This window comes from Homo sapiens, chromosome 4 (genome assembly GCF_000001405.40).
Source record: "Homo sapiens chromosome 4, GRCh38.p14 Primary Assembly".
Taxonomy (NCBI): domain Eukaryota; kingdom Metazoa; phylum Chordata; class Mammalia; order Primates; family Hominidae; genus Homo; species Homo sapiens.
Genome location: NC_000004.12, coordinates 6,596,201 through 6,615,620, shown reverse-complemented (window position 1 = coordinate 6,615,620; position 19,420 = coordinate 6,596,201). Strand labels below are relative to the sequence as shown.

Here is a 19,420-nt window from a genome sequence, read left to right as displayed (position 1 = left end):
CTAGCTATGTTGCCCAGGCTGGTCTCGAACTCCTGGCCTGAAGTGATCCTGCTACCTCGGCCTCCCAAAGTGCTGGCATTACAGATGTGAGCCACCTTGCCTGGCCCATTTTTAAGAAGCTATCATGGGGCTATGGGGTAGCTGGTTTTCAGAATGGCACAGGGGAATGACTGCCCAAGATCACAAAAGCCAAGAGGTTTGTGAAAGTGCTTCTACATCTCCTGGTGTGGTGGTGAGGAGTTCCAGCTCCAAAGTCAGGGAAGGCCTCCTGTGTCCCACACAGCAGGAATGGTGAGGGATCCCATTTCACAAGGCGGCTGCAGGTGCCTGGGAAAGCAGGCTCAGGCACACGCCACCATGACCAGAGAACTTTTCTATTTTTATTTTTATAGACACAGGATCTTCCTATGCTGCCCAGGCTGGTCTTGAACTCCTGGGCTCAAGCAATCCGCCTGCCTCGGATCCCCTAAGTGCTGGGATTCCAGGTGTGAGCCACTGCGCCCCACCCTTTTCCTCGTATTCTTAATTCTGCAGGTGTGCCAGGCCTTGGGGACCTGAGGATGGCTGAGGCACAGTCTGACCCTGCCTTTCCACTGCTCACGGTGTAGAGGGGGCAGAGGAGGTGCAGCTGGGGCTCTGGCAACAGGACAAGTCAGTTCCCAGCAGGTGTCGCCTCCTCGGGGAGCCCCCCATCATGCTGTGCAGGGGGATTCCTCTTGTCCTTGTCATTACTGCCTGGTGACTTGATTGCTTCTGCTCTAGACCAAGCGCTCAGAAAGCCAGGACCTTGCCCACCTTGGTCATTGCTCATTCCCCGGAGCCTGGCACGAGACGTGCTGTTGAATGAGTGAGTGGAAACTCCCAAGAGTTAGGCTGCCTGAACTTGGAGGATGAGTGGGAATTTGGGTGTTTGGGGGCTCCAGGAGGTTTCCCTGGAAGAAGTAGGACTGGCAGGCAACCTGGGGGTCAGGGGGACTTTAACTAGTTCCTTAGTCTCAGCTGGGGGTGGCAGGCTGAGAGGGATCCATTCAGAATGCGCTGGGGTCACAGGGCTGGGGGCCAGGCCCACCTCGCCTCCAGCTTGCCAAGTGACTGATCACTGACTCTCCCTGGGCCTCACTCTCCCCATGTGCCAGATAAGAAACCAGGTGACCTTGCAGAGCCATGATAGCTCTAAGGTGAGCCCCTGTCTGGTGGTGGGCCCGGTGGCCTGTTTGACTCAGGGAGGGAGGAGCAGGTCTGAGACGCCAGGGCACCTGCCTCACCTTTCCGGAGATTCTGAGAGTGCTCCGTGTGGTTGGAGCTGTAGCGCCAGCCAGGGATGCTCAGGATCTGCAGGTGAAGATTCGGGGGCAGCGTCACGGCCTCTTGCTGCTGGGGTCCTGGGAGCTTCGGCGCAGTCCCTGCAAGGCAGATGGACAGAGTGAGGAGAGGGTTTGGGGCTCAACTCCTCCTCCTGGCACTCAGAGCTCTGCACATTACATGCCCCTGCCCCTGCCAGCCACTTCCCATGCATCCTTGTGGGTAGCCTACCCCGCACCAGCCCAAAGTGTTTGTGCTCCCAATGCCCCAGGCCTCCACTTCCCTGCCTTTGCTCAGACCATAGAGCTTAAGAGCTGGGAGGACCCTGACTCTCCTCAGCCTAACCATCTCAAAGTAGAGACGAGGAAAGAGCTCAGAGGGCACAAAGCTTATTCAAGATAACAAGGCAAGTTCAGGCACAGCCCTCTCCTCTCTCTCTCCTTTCTTCCTTCGTTTTTTTCCTTCCTTCTTCCTCCCTCCCTCTTTTTTCCTTCCTTCCTTCCTTCCTCCTCCCTCTTCCTTTCTTCCTTCTTTCCTTCCTTCCCTCCCTCTCTTCTTTTCTTTTCCCTCCCGTCCCCTCCCTTCCGTTCCCTTCCCTTCCCCTCCCTCCCTCACTTCCTTCCTTCCTTCCCTCCTTCCTTCCTCCCTTCTTTCCTTCCTTCCATCCCTCTCTTCTTTTCCCTCCCCTCCCCTCCCCTCCCTTCCATTCCATTCCCCTCCCTCCCTTCCTTCCTTCCTTCCTTGTAGATAGGGACTTGCTGTGTCACTCAGGCCAGAGTGCAGTGGTGCAATCACAGCTCACTGCAGTCTCAAACTCCTGAGCTCAAACTATCCTCCCACCTCAGCCTCCCAAGTAGCTGGGACTATGGGCCACCACCCTGGCCAATTTTTAAAAATTTTTTTGTAGAGACAGGGTCTCACAGGCTAGTCTTAAACTCCTGGGCTTAAGAGATCCTCCCGTCTTGCCCTCCCGAAGTGCTGGGATTACAAGTGTGAGCCACCATGTCCGGCCAGAACCCTGTTTTCTACTCAAGATCTGGGATGCCAGTTCCACCCCTGTTTTGTCATCTACTGGTCTCTCTGCTCAGAAGGCACCTCAGCCCCTACTCCTTTCAGGTCTAGATGTTCAGCTGGAGCTACCATCTTCTTACAATACCCCAGGCCATGCTGATTGGTCCAGGCATGGGCCACCTGACCCCAGTAGGACCAATCAGAATCTTTCCCTAGGACTTTTGCACTTGGAACTGGAAAGTCCAAGTCTTAGGTCCTTTTGAGTGGGGAAGACAGAGCTGCTCTTTGAGAGCAGCCCCAGAGCTGTTCAGAGTCACATCCCAGGTGGGAGGTGAAGGAAAGTCTGCAGACAGAGAGAAGTGCAGGTGAGAGACGAACAAGGACAGCCTCACGAGGGCTCCAGGCCCTGAGGCCCAATTACACCCTGCCCTTCCCTTGGTTATGTGGGCCTCACCATACACTCTCCCTGGGGGCTCAGCTAGTTCAAGTTGGGTTTCCGTTACTTGCAACCAACAGAGACCAGAGTGAGGCCAGGTGGGATGGAGCTGACAACAGCCATGGGGCTTTCTCAGACATGGCCTCATCTCCCTTTGCAGGAAAAGCCCCAGCTACACAGAAGGAACCACTGACTGGTCTGGGAGCAGAACCTGACCCTGCTAGGCCAATCAGATTTCCTCTTCTGGGAATCTGAAGCAAGGGAACCAGAGGTGGCTCAATGGCCGTCCTGGGAGACATGGCTGTGAGCCTCTGCTCCTGATATGCCTAGAGCTGCCCTGCCCCATGCCTGTCTGGACCTTGTATCCAGCTCCTCCTTAGATTCCATGAGCTTCTCCAGGCTCTGCCCAAATAGCTGCCCCTTCAGGCTCTGTTACTTCCAAAGAACCTTAATTGACACCCCCTGGACCTGATCCCTGACCTCCTCCCAGCTGTGGTCTCACACTCCTCTACACCCACGAAACACCAGGCCCTCTATGGCATGGCTCCTTCTCCACCCTGAATCCTGGCTCTATACGAGCATGCCTCCCCTGTCCAACAGCCCAGGAAAACTCTCCTGGGTCCGGGCTGCTCTTCTGCATCTCCAGTGTATGGCACAGGCACACTGCAAGTGCTCAGTATATGCTTGTTGCATGGGTGAGTGACAGCCTGCCTGCTGGCTACTGCCCTGGGTTCTGGCTCTAAAACCAAAGCAGGGAGAACCTTAAAAGCACATGCTAATCAAAACCTCCATAGGTGAGTAGAAAAAGAAAAGAGTTTAAGGATTAGTGAGAATGGCAGCAAATTGTATCTAGGTCTTGCAGCTCCAAAAGACCATCTTTAAATGTAATCATTGTTTAATGTTTCTCATGTTCTGCTACTTTATAGAGACACAGAACTACATGGTTGTTGATCTGATCTACAGAAGCTCAGTGGAGGTACAGAATAAGTCCTTTAGGTTAGACTATAGATTAGAAAGACCCCCACCTGGTGACAGCACACCTAGATTCAGACCCAACTTGTCTTTTATTTTTACTTTTGAGACAGAGTCTCGCTTTGCCACCCAGGCTGGGGTGCAACGGTGCAATCTCAGCTCCCTGCAACCTCTGCCTCCCGGGTTCAAGCGATTCTCCTGCCTCAGTCTCCCGTGTAGCTGGCATTACAGGATTACAGGCATGCGCCACCATGCCCAGCTAACAAACCAGTCTTTTAAATGCTAAGCCTCCAGACCTAAAGTGACATGGTGACATAATGTCATATTAAGAAAGGAAAAGATACATCAGAGAAGAAAATGGAGAAGATACAGGGAAGAGGCATATGGTGAAATGGGTGAGTCCCAGCTCTGTACCTCCTAGTTGTATGACCTTAAGTGAGCCACTGTTTGCCCTCAGTTTGCCCATCTGTTAAATGAGGGGCTTGGGCTAGAGGTCCCTGAGGTCGCTTCCTGCCCAAAAGCTGCCCAGAGTCATGAGGGCACAGGCCCCTCCCAAGGCCCGCCCTGGCCTGGCTGGTGCTGAGGCAGTGATGATGTTACTCTGAAAGGGTGCCCCTTTACCAGCGAGGTCTCCGAACAGCACCACGGGCCTGTGCTGCAGCGCCAGTGCGCTCCTCTGGCGCAGGGCAGTGGTGAGGGACCAGGATCCCAGCAGAAGCCAGAGCACTGGGTGGACGACTGAGGTGTCGTTCAGCGTGAGGTTGTAGCCCAGGTCCCAGTCGAAGTTGTTCCACAGCCGCCGGTGGAGCATGACCTGCGGGAAGGCATTGTCCGAGAGGCCCGGCTTGCACCTGGGCATGCCTGTAGGGGGCCGCGAGGGGCTGCTGTAGGACAGACCGTGCCTCCTACCTCCACCTGCCCATTCCCTTGGCTGGAGATGCCATGTGCCCGCTCCGACAGCAACACAAGCCTGCTTTTGCCATCCTCCATGAAGGCCGACTGAACCATGGGGTAGTAATTCTGCAGACAGAAACATCGCCAGGTGGGCGATTGGGGCAAAGGGCAAGGTAGGTCAGGCATCACCCTCTGGCCACCCCAGCTGGTGCTCCCCATAGGCACAGCAGCAGCATGGGGCTGGGACCCTGACTTTGGAGACCAACAGACTGGGGTTCAGACACCAGCTCTGTGGCTTCCTAGCATACAGCTCAGCTGACATGGGTGCAGGCCCTGGCCAAGCCCTGGCCACGCATCATCTCATGGATCCTCAGAATGACCCTTTGATGAAGGAGCCATTTTACAGGAGAGGAAACCGAGGCACAAGCCAAGGCACATACTATTCTTGTCTGTGGTAGCACCAGAATTCAGACACCAGTCTGACTCACAGCCTGCACGCTCAAGCCCTGAACGGGCAGATACACAGGCTTTAAAAGAATTCTCTCTGGAGGCCGGGCGCGGTGGCTCACACCTGTAATCCCAGCACTTTGGGAGGCTGAGGCGGGTGGATCATCTGAGGTCAGGCGTTCAAGACCAGCCTGGCCATCATTGTGAAACCCCATCTCTACTAAAAATATAAAAATTAGCTGGGCATGGTGGCAGGCGGCTGTAATCCCAGCTACTCGGGAGGCTGAGGCAGGAGAATCGCTTGAACCTGGGAGGCAGAGGTTGCAGTGAGCCAAGATCGCTCCATTGCGCCCCAGCCTGGGTGACAGAGTGAGACTCCATCTTAAAAAAAAGGAAAAAAACATTCTCACTGGAGGCCTCTACTGGCCTCTACTGCTGCAATTTGATGCTTAATGGGTCCAGGAAAGGCGCCATTGGGAGCGTGCCTTGTGGGCATTGCAGGACATACCCGGGCGATGCTGTTGTTCACATAGGAAACGTAGGGCCTCCGCTGCATCTGGTAGCCGTTGTTGTCTGAGTAGATGACCTGCTGGCTGTTTAGGTTGGTGCTGGTCCTCAGGACAGCCTCACGGTTCAGCTCCAGGGGGCCGGCTTGGTACTCCTGCTCTATCCGGTGGCAGAGCAGCTCCCCGTCATGGCCCTGCGGCACATGGGTGAGCCGGGAGCGGATTGCATACGTGTAATTCTGTGCTGTCATGTTCCTGGAGGAGAAGGGAGCATCAGTAAGTGAAGCTCCAGGAACCTTCTAGATGCTTCCTTTTTGCTTCCCTTCCTTCATGTGGGCAGGGTGGGCAGGGCAGGGTACGCCGAAAGGCAGGGAGCCTTCTTGGGCCATGTGGACAATAGCACCACCCAGGACCCCGAGCGGCTGGGAGCAGCCTGGTTCCCCGACACCGCAGGGCTGCCATGCCGGGCCTGCCTTACGTCTGCTCTGATCATGGAAGAACAGGTGCTCTGTGGGCCCCAGGGTCTGTGGGTCTCTCTCCCAGCTCTGAACTTAGCTCCCAACCAACGTGACACAGCACACGCAAACGCAGCCAGCATGCAGACACCAGAGCAATTCATTTCTTCATCAGACCACGTGTCAACCACGGCCCGGAAGCTGGGGTTCAGAGCAAAGACAGACCCTCATTCACTGAGCTGCCTGCACGCGTGCGCTGACTGTGTGCCGGGCTGTGGGGGTCACCCCAGGGGAAGCACCTGTAGAAGTACTGCCGGATCTCAGTCACAAGCTGTCCCGCCACAATCTCCATTTCCACAGCTTCCCACGCAGGCACCGCGGCCTTGCCCGGTGTGAACAGGTAGTTATCGGAAATGGGGCCCTGTTTCACATCCCCGTTGACGTGGTACTCCAGGAATTCCTGGGTCACGCGCACCGTTCGGTTACTCTGTCTGCAGAGGCAGGAGAGAGAAGATGTCATTCTCATCCTGCACAAGGTCTTACAGACACCGGCTGGCAAGCCTCTCTCTCCAGATGCCATCTGAGTGGCCTGCGTAGCACTCACGAGGCCATGTGACTCAGCTCATCTAGAAGCCCTGAGACCCCACCCACAGCCAGTGTGGCCTTAGACTCCATGCTGTCCCAGAATGGGTCACAAACGAGGAGACGGACAGAGCCTGCAGACAGGAACCGTGAGCCGTCAGCAGAGGGCACCCCCAAGAGATGGAACTGGCTCACCCAGGCTGTGGTCTGCAAGCGAAACCAGTGCAGGAACGGGCTTTTGTCATGCTGACTCTGAGCTGTCCAGCAGGACACCCATGTGTACAGACCCCATGTCATGGGCCAGAGCCTTCACTGACTTCACCTGGTTAAATTCTCCCAACCCCCAAAGGCAGGGACTGTTAACCCATCCCACTCCCGAGGCATCCGAGGCTGGAAGTTGTGACATCATGTACCCAAGATCACACATCTAGGAAGTGTGCAAGCCAGAACTCAAATTCAGCCCCGACTTTAAATTCTGTGCTCCCTCCCTTCTATTAGGATGTTTGTGTTAGGACAGAGGATGGGAGAAGAGCAGGAGGGGGTCAAGTATTTTAATTGTAAAATGCAATATTTGGCCTAACCAAGTGCACAAGTGATGTATTTGTATCTGAGTCTGGCCTGGCTGTGGGCGGACAATGAGGTGGATGGCCTCTGCACCCACTTCTCTGTGGGATTGTGGTGAGGGTGGGGAAGGAAAGGGAGGCAGGCTGTGGAGGGTTCTACTGAGTGCTGGTGGAGGAGGAGAAAGAAAAGAATTGAGGCCTCTGGCCCTGGACCCCTTCCCCGCACGATCCTTTTAAAAAGCTCCCCCAGGGGCCATCAAAAGAGTAAAAAGACAAGCCATGGAATGGGAGGAGGGATTTGCAAATCATAAATCTGACAAGGGACTTGTAGCTAGAATATATAAAGAACTCTTACAACTCAATAATAAAAGACAAGCCAATTTAAAAATAGGTAAAGGATCTAAAGACACATCTCACCACAGAAGATATGCTAGTGACCAGTAAGTACATGAAGAGATGCTCAACACCATTAGTTAGCAGGGAAATGCAAATCGAAACCATCATGAGATGCCACTTCTCGCCCACGAGAATGGCTATAATTGAAAAGACAGAAAATAACAAGTGTGGGCGAGGATGTGAAGAAATCAGAACCCTCATCTGCTGCTGGGAGGAACAGAAAATGGTGCAGCCGCTTTGGAAAACGGTCGGGCAGTTCCTCAAAGAGTTAAACATAGAGTTAGCTTGTGACTGAGTAATTCTACTCCTAGCTATGTACCCAGGAGAAACGAAAATGTATGTCCACACAAAAACTTGTACATGAATGTTCAGAGCAGCATTATTGATAGTGGCTAAAACGTGGAAACAACCCAAATGTCCATCAACTAAAGAATGGATAAACAAAATATGGTACATACATGCGATGGAATAGTATTCTGCCATGAAAAGGAACGAAGTACTGATACGTGCTACGATACTGATGAACCTTGAAAACATGCTAAGTGGGTTGTGGGTTGGGCATGGTGGCTCAAGCCTGTAATCCCAGCACTTTGGGAAGCTGAGGCAGGTGGATCACTTGAGCTCAGGAGTTTGAGACCAGCCTGGGCAACATGGTGAAACACCATCTCTGCAAAACACAAAAATTAGCTGGGTGTGGTGGTATGCACATGTAATCCCAGCTACTCAAGAGGCTGAGGTGGGAGGATCACTTGAGCCCCAGAGGAGGTTGAGGCTGCAGTGAGCCATGATTGTGCCACTGCACTCCAGCCTAGATTACAGAGTGAGACTCTCTCAATCAATCAATCAATCAATAAAAAGGGGGAAAAATATGTGAAGTGAAAGAAGTGAGTTGCAAAAGGACCACATATTGTATGAACAGGTAAATCCATATAGACAGAAATAGTCTAGGATTGCCAGGGCCCGTGGGGGAGTGATTGCTCAACAGCATGAAGTTTCTTTCTGGAGTAATGAAAACGTTCTAAAATTGATTGTGGTGATGGCTGCACAACTCTGTGAATGCACCAGAAACCACTGAATTGCCCACTTTAAATGGGTGAATTGTGTGTTATGTGAAGTGCATCTCAGTCAAGCTGTTACATAAGGAACAGAAGCGCTCCCTTCAACCCACACTGCCCTGGGGTTGGTGTCTGCACCCTTGGCTTCCCACCCCAGGCCTCTGCACAGGCTGTCTCCTTCCTATGGAGCAACCTCCCCTATGCCCTTCGAGGCCTGGGGCCTGGCCCCAGGTGTCGTCTCCCGATGGCCCCTACTCTGAATACCAACAGCTCCTCCTTTCTGCTCAGGTGACAGGCACTGGTTTTGCAAGGCTTACCCCTGGTGGGGTTTTGGGAGCCCAATAAGAACTCCTTTGTCCTCACTGGAGTTCAAAACAAGAGAGACAGACAGGGCCACAAACGGGACAGGACAGCCTGAGCTCCAGTGCTGGAAATGCCGGGTGGGACCCTGGCTTAGGCATGTGGGGTCCGTGGGCTGCCCTAAGGGGCATGTACAGAGGGGGCATGGGGCCTGAGTGAGGAACGGACAGGGCACATTCTGCCTCTCCTGGCCTAACCTGGCAGGCTTGGACCATGCTGGGGTTTCTCCCATTTCTGCAGCTCCTCTGCCCAACTCCCCCCTTGCCAGCCACCCATGCTGGCTGCTGTCACCCCTGCACCTGCCCCACTTTCCCTCAGGAGCCACTGGGGAAAGATGAGGACAGACCTGACTGGGGCCCCATTCCCAGAGAAGTCCTGGAGCTCTGTGGGCAGGGAGCTGCTGACAGTGACCTTGAGCTGAGCTCCCCTGATACCCACCTCAGTACAAATGCCCCTCTCCCTTCTTCTCTCCCTCCTCTTTTTCTGTCTCCCCTCTCCCCTTTCCTGTCCCCTCACTTTCTGCCATGTACCCCTCTCCATTAGAAGGTCACATCAGGAGACAAGGTGAGTATTCTGGCAGAGGCAGCTGGGCCTGATGAAGACTCCACCGGACGTGGCCTAGGAAGGATAAACCAGCCACGAGGTCTTTCTTGGGAGGTCAGCTGCCCACTCTGATGTCCACAAATAGCTGCTGAATGAATACATGAATGAATGAATGAATGAATGAATGGGTGGTTGGGTGAGTGGATGGATGGATGAATGGGTAGGTACATAGGTGGGTGGGTAGATGGATGGATGATGAATGGGTGGGTAGGTAGATGTATGGATGGATGGGTAAGTGGGTGAGTGGATGGATGAGTGGGTGGATAATTGGGTGGATGGATGGATAACTGGGTGGGTAGATAAGTGGGTGGGTGAATAGATGGGTAAGTAGACAGGTGGGTGGGTGGGATTAGATGATTTTGAAAGTCCCGTCCTGCTTTAAAGACAGTAACACTATTTACTGAATAGAGATTTTATGTTTCTCTAAATTAAAAAAAAAGTGGTAATTTTTTTTTCCCAGAGTGAGTCCCTCAGTGCTCATTTTTTTCTATGGATCAATAGCCCTGGAATGAAAAAGTATAAGAAAGCCTTTCCTGCACTGGCCCAGGCTCACACTTCTAAAATTAAAGATCACAATAGCAGGAAGGGGTTTCACCACCATCTGTCCTTCCCCCAGGCAAGTGAGCAAATGGAGAATCCAGGTAGGGGCCTGACATGCCCAGGCTCCAGGCATGCCTGTGCCTCAGAGACAGCAATGGCTGCACCTTACCTCTCCCAGATGCTGTGCATCAGGTTGGTATCCTGGTCGAGCAGCACAATGTAGCAGTCGTTTGCCACAGGCACCAAGTACCTGCCCGCATGGCTGGTGCGTCTCCTCAGCCTGCGGCCAAATTGAAGGGTGCTCGCCACAGTGGCAGCCGGCTCCTGGGTGCCCTCTTGGGCCCCTGCAGTGGGTCTGATGTTGTAGTGCCGGTAACTGAGGCCTGGGATTGTGGTCAGAATAAGCAGGTCATACGCAGATGGGGTCTCTGTTGAGTTCTGGATCTGCAAGGCCAGCAGGATGAGACTTGTTAACTGTCAGCTCTCACACTTTCTGGAATGGGGTGCTCACTACTTGCTGAGGCAGCAGTGTCTTTCCATCTCTCGGATCCTGCCGATTTCTCCTCCCTGCCCCCAGTTCTGGCTTTCTCCCCTTGGACCCCCACAAACCACATCAGTCCTGGGAGAACCCTTCAGCGACCTGAAGATAGCTGGTTCTTGGGGTCCCCAAAGCTTCTCTTACTCCCACCTCCTGAACTGGGAGCTCCTGAACACCCCCAGCTCCTTTAATCATCCTTCATCAACCAAAGTGATGACTCCCAAAAGCAAACCCAAATCCACTGACCTCTTCTGGAACCCGAGATCCACGAATACAGCTTCTTGTTTGACGCCTCCACGTGGATGTCAACAGCTGACCTCACCAGCTACCCCATCCCACCCAAATCTGCTCCCTGCAGCATCCCCATCCAACGATGGCCCTTCCAGCACCTACCCTGCACCTTCTGCTCCCCGCTGTCCGGCTTTCTCCACCCCTACCCCCTAGTCATCCCATCCCTCAGTCACTCCCCTTCCCCATCCCCCAGGAATCCCCATCCCCCATCCTCCAGCCACTCCCACCCACCACCAAGGCCCCCCACCGCCTTCTTGAGGCCTTTCATCTCCCTTCCCTGTGGCCTCTGCCTGGTCACAGCTGCTGTGGCCCCTCCCTAGGTAACTGCCCAGCATCTGCACTGCTGTCCCCACATCCACTCCTGTGCCTACCAACCCATCCACTGCAGCAACCAAAGCAAGCTTTTCGAGACTCTTGTCTGCTGCAACTGGGGAAGGAAGCCTCCTCTGGGACCCAGCCTCCTCCCTGCGGTGACCTTACTCTGTCCTCTGGCCCTTGGGGCTCCAGCATCACCAACCCTTCCTTCCTGACACTCCTGCCGTTTCCTGCCTCTGAGCCTGTGCCACGCTGTGCCCTCCACCTGGACTACCTTCTCCTGGGAGGGGCCATCCCCCAATCTTCTCATCCCCACGTGGACGGACTTTTCCAGGTTAACCCTCCTGGCCTCTGCTCACCTCCAAGGTGTCTGATTTGGAGAGGGAGGCTGGAGGAGGGCACTGTGCCCCCTCAGTTCCTGTGCCCCAGTGGGGAGGCCCCCCCAATAATGGTGTACACGCCTCCCGACCCAGCCTTTATCCCAAATACAGCAGATACCTGTTCCCTGTCTGCCTGATCCCACATTGATGCGGCCTGGCCCACCTATTTAAAATGTGTCCCCAGCCCCTGCAACTTGCTGTAGTGACTGTCCCCCTCACGGTGGTCATCGCCTATCATATTCCATATTTTTCTTATTTTACTTATCACCTGTCTCCCCTACTGGAATAGATGCCCCAGGCAGTGGGATTTTGTCTGTTTGGTTAGTACACCATCCCCAGCGCCTAGAACAGGGGCTGACAGACAGTAGGAGCTCCAGAAATGTATGCTGAGGGAATCTACTCCTAACGGATACTGCATCTGAGTGGGGAAGGGGTGTGTGTGGGGGTCTGCTCAGACCCATACCCTCCCTTCGCCTCTCCCTGTGCTGGACAAACTCCTCCTCGGTCTCAGTTCCAGCCGAGGGCCCCTCCCCTGGCTCCCGAGTCACCACTCCACACTGTCACCATCCATGTCTGTGTCCTGGGATGGGGCCTGGCCTCGCTCAGGTCCAGGGGCCCAGCACCCAGCCCAGGGCTGGGCCCAGGATGGGCGTTCGGGAGCTTTGCTGAGTGAATGAGTGATGTCAGCCCCTCCTCCGCCTCCCCAAGAAGGGTCAGCTGGGTGGCGTGTCTGGCGCCCTCTGGAACCGGAGTTGGCCTGACCCATGTGGGGTGTCTGGGTGGTGTGGACAAAAGCAGTCCAGCCCCATACCTAACATCGGCACCTCCATTAAAGCACCCCTTTAAGATTCCTGAAGGCTTTCCCACATGCCAGGGTGGAAATTCATATTAGATCACAAATATTCCCAAAGGCAGGGGAGTGACGGAAAGCTTCCCACATGTGAGGCCTTTCTAGGGATCAGCCCATACAAGGGGGCCCAGCAAACAGGAGTGTGAACAGGCCTGGTGTGGTGGCTCATGCCTGTAATTCCAGCTCTTTGGGAGGCCAAGGTGGGAGGATTGCTTGAGGCCAGGAGTTTGAGACCAGCCTGGGCAACATAGTAAGACCCTGCCTCTACCAAAAAACAAACAAAAAAATTAGCCATGTATGGTGGTGTGCACCTGTGGTCCCAGCTACTCAGGAGACTGAGGTGGGAGAATCAACTTGAGCTTGGGATGTTGAGGCTGCAGTGAGCTGTGATTGTGCCACTGCACTCCAGCCTGCATGACAGGGTGAGACTTTGTCTCAAAAAAAAAAAAAAAAAGGAAAACTGACAGTAAAAATTGTTTTAAAAAGTGTAAGCAGGGCACAACAGTTGAAAGGCTAATGCCACCTCCTAACTCCCACTTGGCATGAGTGATGCCACGGACTGAATGTCTGTGTCCCCTCAAATGGCTGACGTCCGGATTCCAAGTCATCACTTAGGAGTGGGGCCTTGGGGAGGTGATTAGGTCGGAGGGTGCTGCCCTCAAGAATGGGATTAGTGCCCTCGTAAAAAAGACCTCAGAGAGTTCCCTTGGCCTCTTGTGCCATGTGAGGACACACAGGAAGATGGCAAGCAGGAAGAGGCCCTCACCAGAACCCGGCCATGCTGGCACCTTGATCTTGGACTTCCTGCCTCCAGAACTGTGAGAAATAAATGTATGTCATTTAAGCCATGTAGCCTATGAGACTTTGTCATAGCAGCCCAAGCAGGCTGCGACAGATGAGGCCCTTATCTCCCATAGCGTGACCCCATTAGTGCTGGGCACAGTGCAAGGCCTGGGTGCAGGGGAAGGCTCAGCTCACGGCTGGTGGTGCTTGAATATGGAGCCTGCTCCACCTCTTCCTCACTGGGGGACTTTGACCAGTCCCTTAGTCTCAGCAGGCCTCCGAGTGCATGAGGGGATGACAGGGATGATGACACAGATGGCCCTCGGCTTCTGGCCACATTGGATGCCCCAAGCCCAGTATCAGTCCGCTGGGTAGATCCAACTCCCCTCAACGGCTGTGTGTCCCTGGGTGATGTCTTCCTACAAGGGCAGACTGTCACACTTTCACTCGAACCACGGCTTTGATTGACCAAGGAAGGTTTGGAGGTTGGGAGTTTGCCACCTCGCAGCTGTGTGACCTCAGGGACTCTGTGTGGTACAGTAAACATAGATAGATTTGGTCTTTGTCTGCAGCTCTTGCCACAGAGCTCCTAAAACCATTGGAACTTCCTGAGTGATAGGAGTGTCTTCTAAAGTTCATAACAAGCCCCTTCCAACCTTATCTGAGCTTATGCTGTGGAGGTGCCTTCTGGCAAGGCCCATAGGTGGCTTCAGGATGGGGCTGCTCCCAAGGAAGCGAGCCCGGGTTAGAGGGCTGGGATGCTAGGCCCTCCCTGCTTCCACCTCACCAGTGCTCCCTGCAGCTGTCCCTGAGTTGTACCCTTTCTTTTTTTTTTTTTTTTGAGATGGAGTCTCACTCTTGTTGCCCAGGCTGGAGTGCAGTGGCGCAATCTCAGCTCACTGCAACCTCTGCCTTCCAGGTTAAAGCGATTCTCCTGCCTCAGCCTCCCAATTATTATACCAGTGCATGCTACCACGCCTGGCTAATTTTTGTACTTTTAGTTAGAGACGAGGTTTCCCCATGTTGGCCAGGATGGTCTCGAACTCCTGACCTCGGGTGATCCACCCGCTTCAGCCTCCGAAAGTGTTTGGATTACAGGCGTGAGCCACCACACCCAGCCAGTTGTAACTTTTCTAACAAAACTGTCATGGTAAGTATGGCACTTGCCTGAGTTCTGTGAGCTGTTCTAATGAATTATCAAACTTGTGTGTGTGTGTATCATGGGAACCCCAGAATTCAGTCAGCAGGACACAAGTGTGGTAGCCCAGGAACCCCATTTGTGGCTGGTGTCTGAAATTAGGGGTCTTGTGAGATTTTGGGCCCCTAACTCGTGGGGTCTGTGCTCACTCCAGGTACTCAATTCAGGAATGAATTGATTTTAGGACACTCAGTTGGTGTCAGAAAAGTGGAGAATTGGGTGGTGTTGGGAAAAAAACCCCACTTTGCTTCTCTGAGCCTCAGTTTCCTCTTCTGTAAAACAAAGGTGATAAGGCCTCCCTTGCAGGGTCAGAAGAGACAATGTGCCCGGCCCAGAGCAGGTTCAGCAAGCAGCTAAGGCCCCTCCAGCAGGATTTTGTGTCCATACCTGCGAGGGCACTGGGTGGCCCGCCTCATCTGTGACGCGGACTCCAGGGAAACCAACAGTCAGGGTGACGATGGTGGTGACCGTCCAGGCCAGCGGGTTGTAGACCGAGGCAAAATGTCCTGCAGGTCCTGCATCTGCACACAGAGAAGAGGCTTTGCTTGTGCCATGTGACTCACCTTCTGGAATGGGGTGCTCACTGGCTGCACCTCAGTATGAGGGAAACTGAGGTAGGTGAGATGCAGCCCTCCAGAACTCCCAGGGGAGCCAGGAAGGGGGCAGGCCAACAGGTGTTTCCCACAGACACAGCGTGGGCTACATTCTGCAGTCTGGCTTCCAGGGCAGGGCAGGCGGAGGGGCTCGGAACATAAGGTGTCCGTGTCGCCCTGGAGAACTGAGGTTCTATTCGCTCCTCACACATCTCTGTCAGCCCATTTTACTGATGAGGAAACAGGTCCAGAGAAGTACAGCCACTTGCCCAAGGTGACCCAGCTTCTAAGGCCTGGCTGCAAAGCTTTGAGTGCTGGGCACTGTGAGCCACCAGAGAATTCTCTGGAGCCCAGAGGGTCAAGTCCATTGCCTAGCCTGGCATTTTAGGTCCCTGTGATGAGGACCTGGCCTCTCTTTCTGTTGCATCCTACCAGCCCATGTGTGTGAGGTCTGGCCACACCTGAGAACTCCTGGATCCCTGAACCCAGCACATACTTCCAGCCTCCCTGCCTCTGCCTGGGCTGTTCCCTCTGCTGGGGACACTTTCCTGGTCTTCTCTACCTATTCACAGCTTGGGGAAGCCTCTCCTGTGTGTTCATTGGAATGACAGCTCCTCAAAAGTCCCCACCTGGCAGTGAAGCCAGACCCCAGCTGAGAGCTCCCGTTCTGCCACTGTCTCTTCCACCTGGCTGGTGTTCCTGAGGCCAGGGGGCCTTCCAGAGCCTGCAGGTTGGATGGGATTACACACAGACAGAGATGGGAGGGGAAGGGCATGTTAGATGCTAGGGCAGTGGGCAGGCCACAGCTGGGACACCAAGAAGTACAAGGCAGCCAGGCATGGTGGCTCTTGCCTGTGATCCCAGAACTTTTTTTTTTTTTTTTTTTTTGAGACGGAGTCTCGCTCTGTCGCCCAGGCTGGAGTGCAGTGGTGCGATCTCGGCTCACTGCAAGCTCCGCCTCCTGGGTTCACGCCATTCTCCTGCCTCAGCCCCTGAGTAGCTGGGACTACAGGCGCCCGCCACCACACCCGGCTCATTTTTTTGGTATTTTTAGTAGAGACAGGTTTTCACCGTGTTAGCCAGGATGGTCTCGATCTCCTGACCTCGTAATCCACCCGCCTCGGCCTCCCAAAGTGCTGGGATTACAGGTGTGAGCCACCATGCCTGGCCAGATAGCAGCATTTTGACAGACCAAGGTGGGAGGACCACTTGAGCCCAGGAGTTAGGAGACCATCCTGGCAACATGGTGAGACCCTGTCTCTCCAAAAAAAATAAAAATAAAACAATAAGCCAGGTGTGGTAGTGCATGCCTGTAGTCCCAGCTACTTGGGAGGCTGAGGCAGGAGGATCGCTCAAGCCCAGGAGTCTAAGGCAGCAGTGACCTATGACTGGCACCACTGCACTCCAGCCTAGGTGACACAGCGAGACCCTGTCTCAAAAAACAAAAAACAAGAAGGAAGTGCAAGATGACCAGGTGCAGGCTGTGGGTGGGACCTGGCGGCCTATGCACACAAAAGTCTCATGCGGGCGGAGGGCCGCCAACCTGTCTTCATTTGTCCAGGATCTTCCCAGTTTGGAAACCCCTCAGTCCCAGGCACACTGGCATGTGATCAGTCACTCTACACGTGGGAAAACTCACAGTCAAAGAGGCTGGTCCCACGGCTGCCCTGCTGTGATGTCAGCCAAGTGGAGTTCGGGAGGGAGTGCCAGGAGCCAGGAAGGGACCGGGCCCCTGAGGACACCGGCGTACTCTCTGCCAAGGCTGGGCAGCACCGTGTTCAGGTTCAATCCCTGCTCTGCTCCTTCCTACCCGAGTGGCCCTGGGCTAGCATATAACTTGAGTCCGTTTCCTCGGCTGTAAAATGAGGACAGTAACCATTCCTATTTTGTACAGATTTTGTGAGGCATTAAATTCAATACTGCATGAAGGGTATTTTGAGCTTAGTAAATGCTCAAAACATGTTAGCTGCTATTTCTGGCTCTTCTTGTAACATCAGCAACCCTTCCTCATTGCACGGATGAGCAAACAGAGGCTGGGAGGACTGAAGCCACCTGTCCGAGCTCTCACCATGGGGAAGGGCGATATGGGTGATGTGGACTCAGAGTCTGAAGCTGGGGTCGTTGAGCCCCTCCCCTGACCTCCTCAGGCTCTCCCTTCATAAAGGGGCCACAGCCTCCCTGCAGGGCCCTGCTCACCGGAGCTGGCCGCCATGGGTGCCTGGGGCTGGAGCTCATCTAGGACGATGGAGGCCATCAGCTTGCGCATGCCCAGCATCCCCGAGGCCAGGTGCGTTGCGTACATGTCTCTCACCTTGGGGGACTCAGTCCCAGTGATGGCATCATGGTGCTGGACCTGCAGCAACCCCCAGAGGGGAGGAAGAACAGGATCAGGACCTGACTCTGCAAAGCACCTACAAGGCACCTACTAGGCGCTGGCTCTCATTCTGGCTTGCCAGGTGCCAGTGGAGAAGGGGGCAGTCCCCGCCATTTTACAGAAGGAGGAACTGAGGCCAAGAGAAGCTGAGGAGCTCGCCCAACTTTTCCTGCCCTTGTGGGAACTCATTGTCCCCCATCTCTGGACCCCCTGCTCTGAAGGACCCTGAAGTCACCTCATTTCTCCCACAACATAATGACATGTTCTGCCAGCAGCTCCTTTTGGGGAACTGTTACAGTGTCATGGCTGGTGTGACCCTTTTTTGGATAGGTGACTGAGGACAAGTTACAGGCTGTCTTGGGTCTGTTTTCCCATCAGTACAGTAGGGGATGGGTGGAGACGGAAACTCATGAACTGGCTATTCAGCAGCCACTGCACCAAGCAGGCTGTGCACACCAGCACATCCAATTGCCCCACCGTCCTCCTGGGCAAGCTCGTTGTTCTCATTGTACAGGAGGGAATTAGGTCTTGGGTGGGTGTGGGAATCATGTGCCTGACATCACACAGCTGAGCCGAGATATGGATGCAGGCAGGGCTGTCGGACACAAATGCCACTCCACCTTGTCCTTTATCCCTTTTGCTAAACTGCTACAAAGCTTAATGAGGCCACCAGCTGGATGGATCAGGCTGTGGTCTCAGCCTTGGCCTGGGTTCACCATGCACTGGCCTTGTAACCAAAGGGAACCTCAGTTTCCCCTCTGTAAAGTGGGGCCTCTAGTGCCCCAGGGCTGGAAGGATTGGCTAGGACAAGGGAGGGGAGGTGCGCAGCATGGGAGGTTCCAATCCTGCCACTGTGGCTAAATGTGGTGTTACCTCGGAGACGGCCCAGCGAAGCTGCTGGAGCTGCTGCAGGGCCCAGGTGGGGTCCAGATGCCCACGGGGGGCCGGCCACAGGTAGCGTGTGAACATGGACTCCCCGGCATACAACAAGGCGCTGGCTCGCCGGGCCAGCCCCTTCAGTGAGCTGCGGGACGTGTAGAAGCCCGTCCAGGCCTGGAATGGTTCTGGGAGACAAGGGAAGATGGTGAGCTTGAGACGGCATGACCCAGAAGTCTGCTAAGCTCCAGCCCTGGAAGAGCTGAGAAGCTGGGGCTGCAGAGGCAGCCTCTGCCAGGGTCACCCAAGGAGGCAGGCCGGGCAGGCAGCGAGCCCAGGGCTTACGGCTCCCAACTCAGGCCTCCTCCCATAGCCAGACTAGGAACTGCCCAGAAAACCCTGGATGGGCCTTGGGCAGGGTGGGAGAGACAGGCTGCACTGGGGCAGGTGGGGTGGGGTGCTGAAGGATCCTGATCGGAGGCAAGCCCAGGGTGCCTAGGAAACACAGAACAGCTGTGTGAGCAAAGGGCCTGGGAGACCCAGAGGGGAAGAGGAGGAGCCAGGTGGGCAGGACCCCACTGAGAAGGGCCTAGACTGCACAGAGGCCTTCATGTGTGACGTGGGCATGGGGAGGCCAGGACAGGCATGCGTTTCAGCAGGGATTCTCTGGGCGTCCAGGGAGGATGGATGGTAGGAGGCAGCAAGGGCTCAGAGACCCCAGGGAGCCAGTGTCCTGATGCAAGACAGAGAGGATGAGGATGCCCAGGGCCCATGCAGGAGGCAGGAGGGCTGAACCCTCCCAGGGAGTGGCTGTCTGTCTCAGAAGGGAGCTTCCTATTGCTTTTGCTTTCCTGCTCCTCGGCGTCTGGGATGTGCCCAGATTTGCCTTGATTCCCTGTTCTTCCCCCACTGGTCCTGAACCAGACTGGGAGGGGTGGTCACATGGCCCAGGGGACAGGCCACACCCTGTGGGTCAGATGGGGTCCTCCACAGCTTTGCAGCCATGTTGAGAGTGGGTGGTGAGGCCCGATTCCATTCAGTCTGGCAGGGGCTCCACATCCTCAGTGGTCATCACGATACCATGCCCGCCTGGATACCAC

At 54.8% G+C, this 19,420-nt stretch overlaps 1 protein-coding gene across 2 annotated transcripts in view, besides 1 other annotated feature; it reads right to left on the bottom strand.

The window, feature by feature from the left end:
* The window catches only part of MAN2B2 (mannosidase alpha class 2B member 2), a 48,174-nt gene that overhangs the window by 7,742 nt on the left and 21,012 nt on the right, over window positions 1-19,420 (bottom strand). For both annotated transcript variants that reach the window (NM_015274.3, NM_001292038.2), the window contains exons 8-16: window positions 18,318-18,508; window positions 17,267-17,423; window positions 14,865-14,998; window positions 10,292-10,566; window positions 6,323-6,514; window positions 5,571-5,823; window positions 4,631-4,741; window positions 4,343-4,535; window positions 1,266-1,403 (exon numbers count right to left, since the gene is read on the bottom strand). In NM_015274.3, the coding sequence (NP_056089.1) occupies window positions 1,266-1,403; window positions 4,343-4,535; window positions 4,631-4,741; window positions 5,571-5,823; window positions 6,323-6,514; window positions 10,292-10,566; window positions 14,865-14,998; window positions 17,267-17,423; window positions 18,318-18,508 (1,644 nt within the window). The remainder of the gene's footprint in view (window positions 1-1,265; window positions 1,404-4,342; window positions 4,536-4,630; window positions 4,742-5,570; window positions 5,824-6,322; window positions 6,515-10,291; window positions 10,567-14,864; window positions 14,999-17,266; window positions 17,424-18,317; window positions 18,509-19,420) is intronic.
* Window positions 13,445-13,739: a silencer, noted in NCBI's record as "tiled region #2687; K562 Repressive non-DNase unmatched - State 15:Elon". NCBI's record gives its function as "represses a minimal TATA promoter and a strong SV40 promoter by Sharpr-MPRA in K562 cells {active_cell/tissue: K562}" and the evidence as "EXISTENCE:reporter gene assay evidence [ECO:0000049][PMID:27701403]".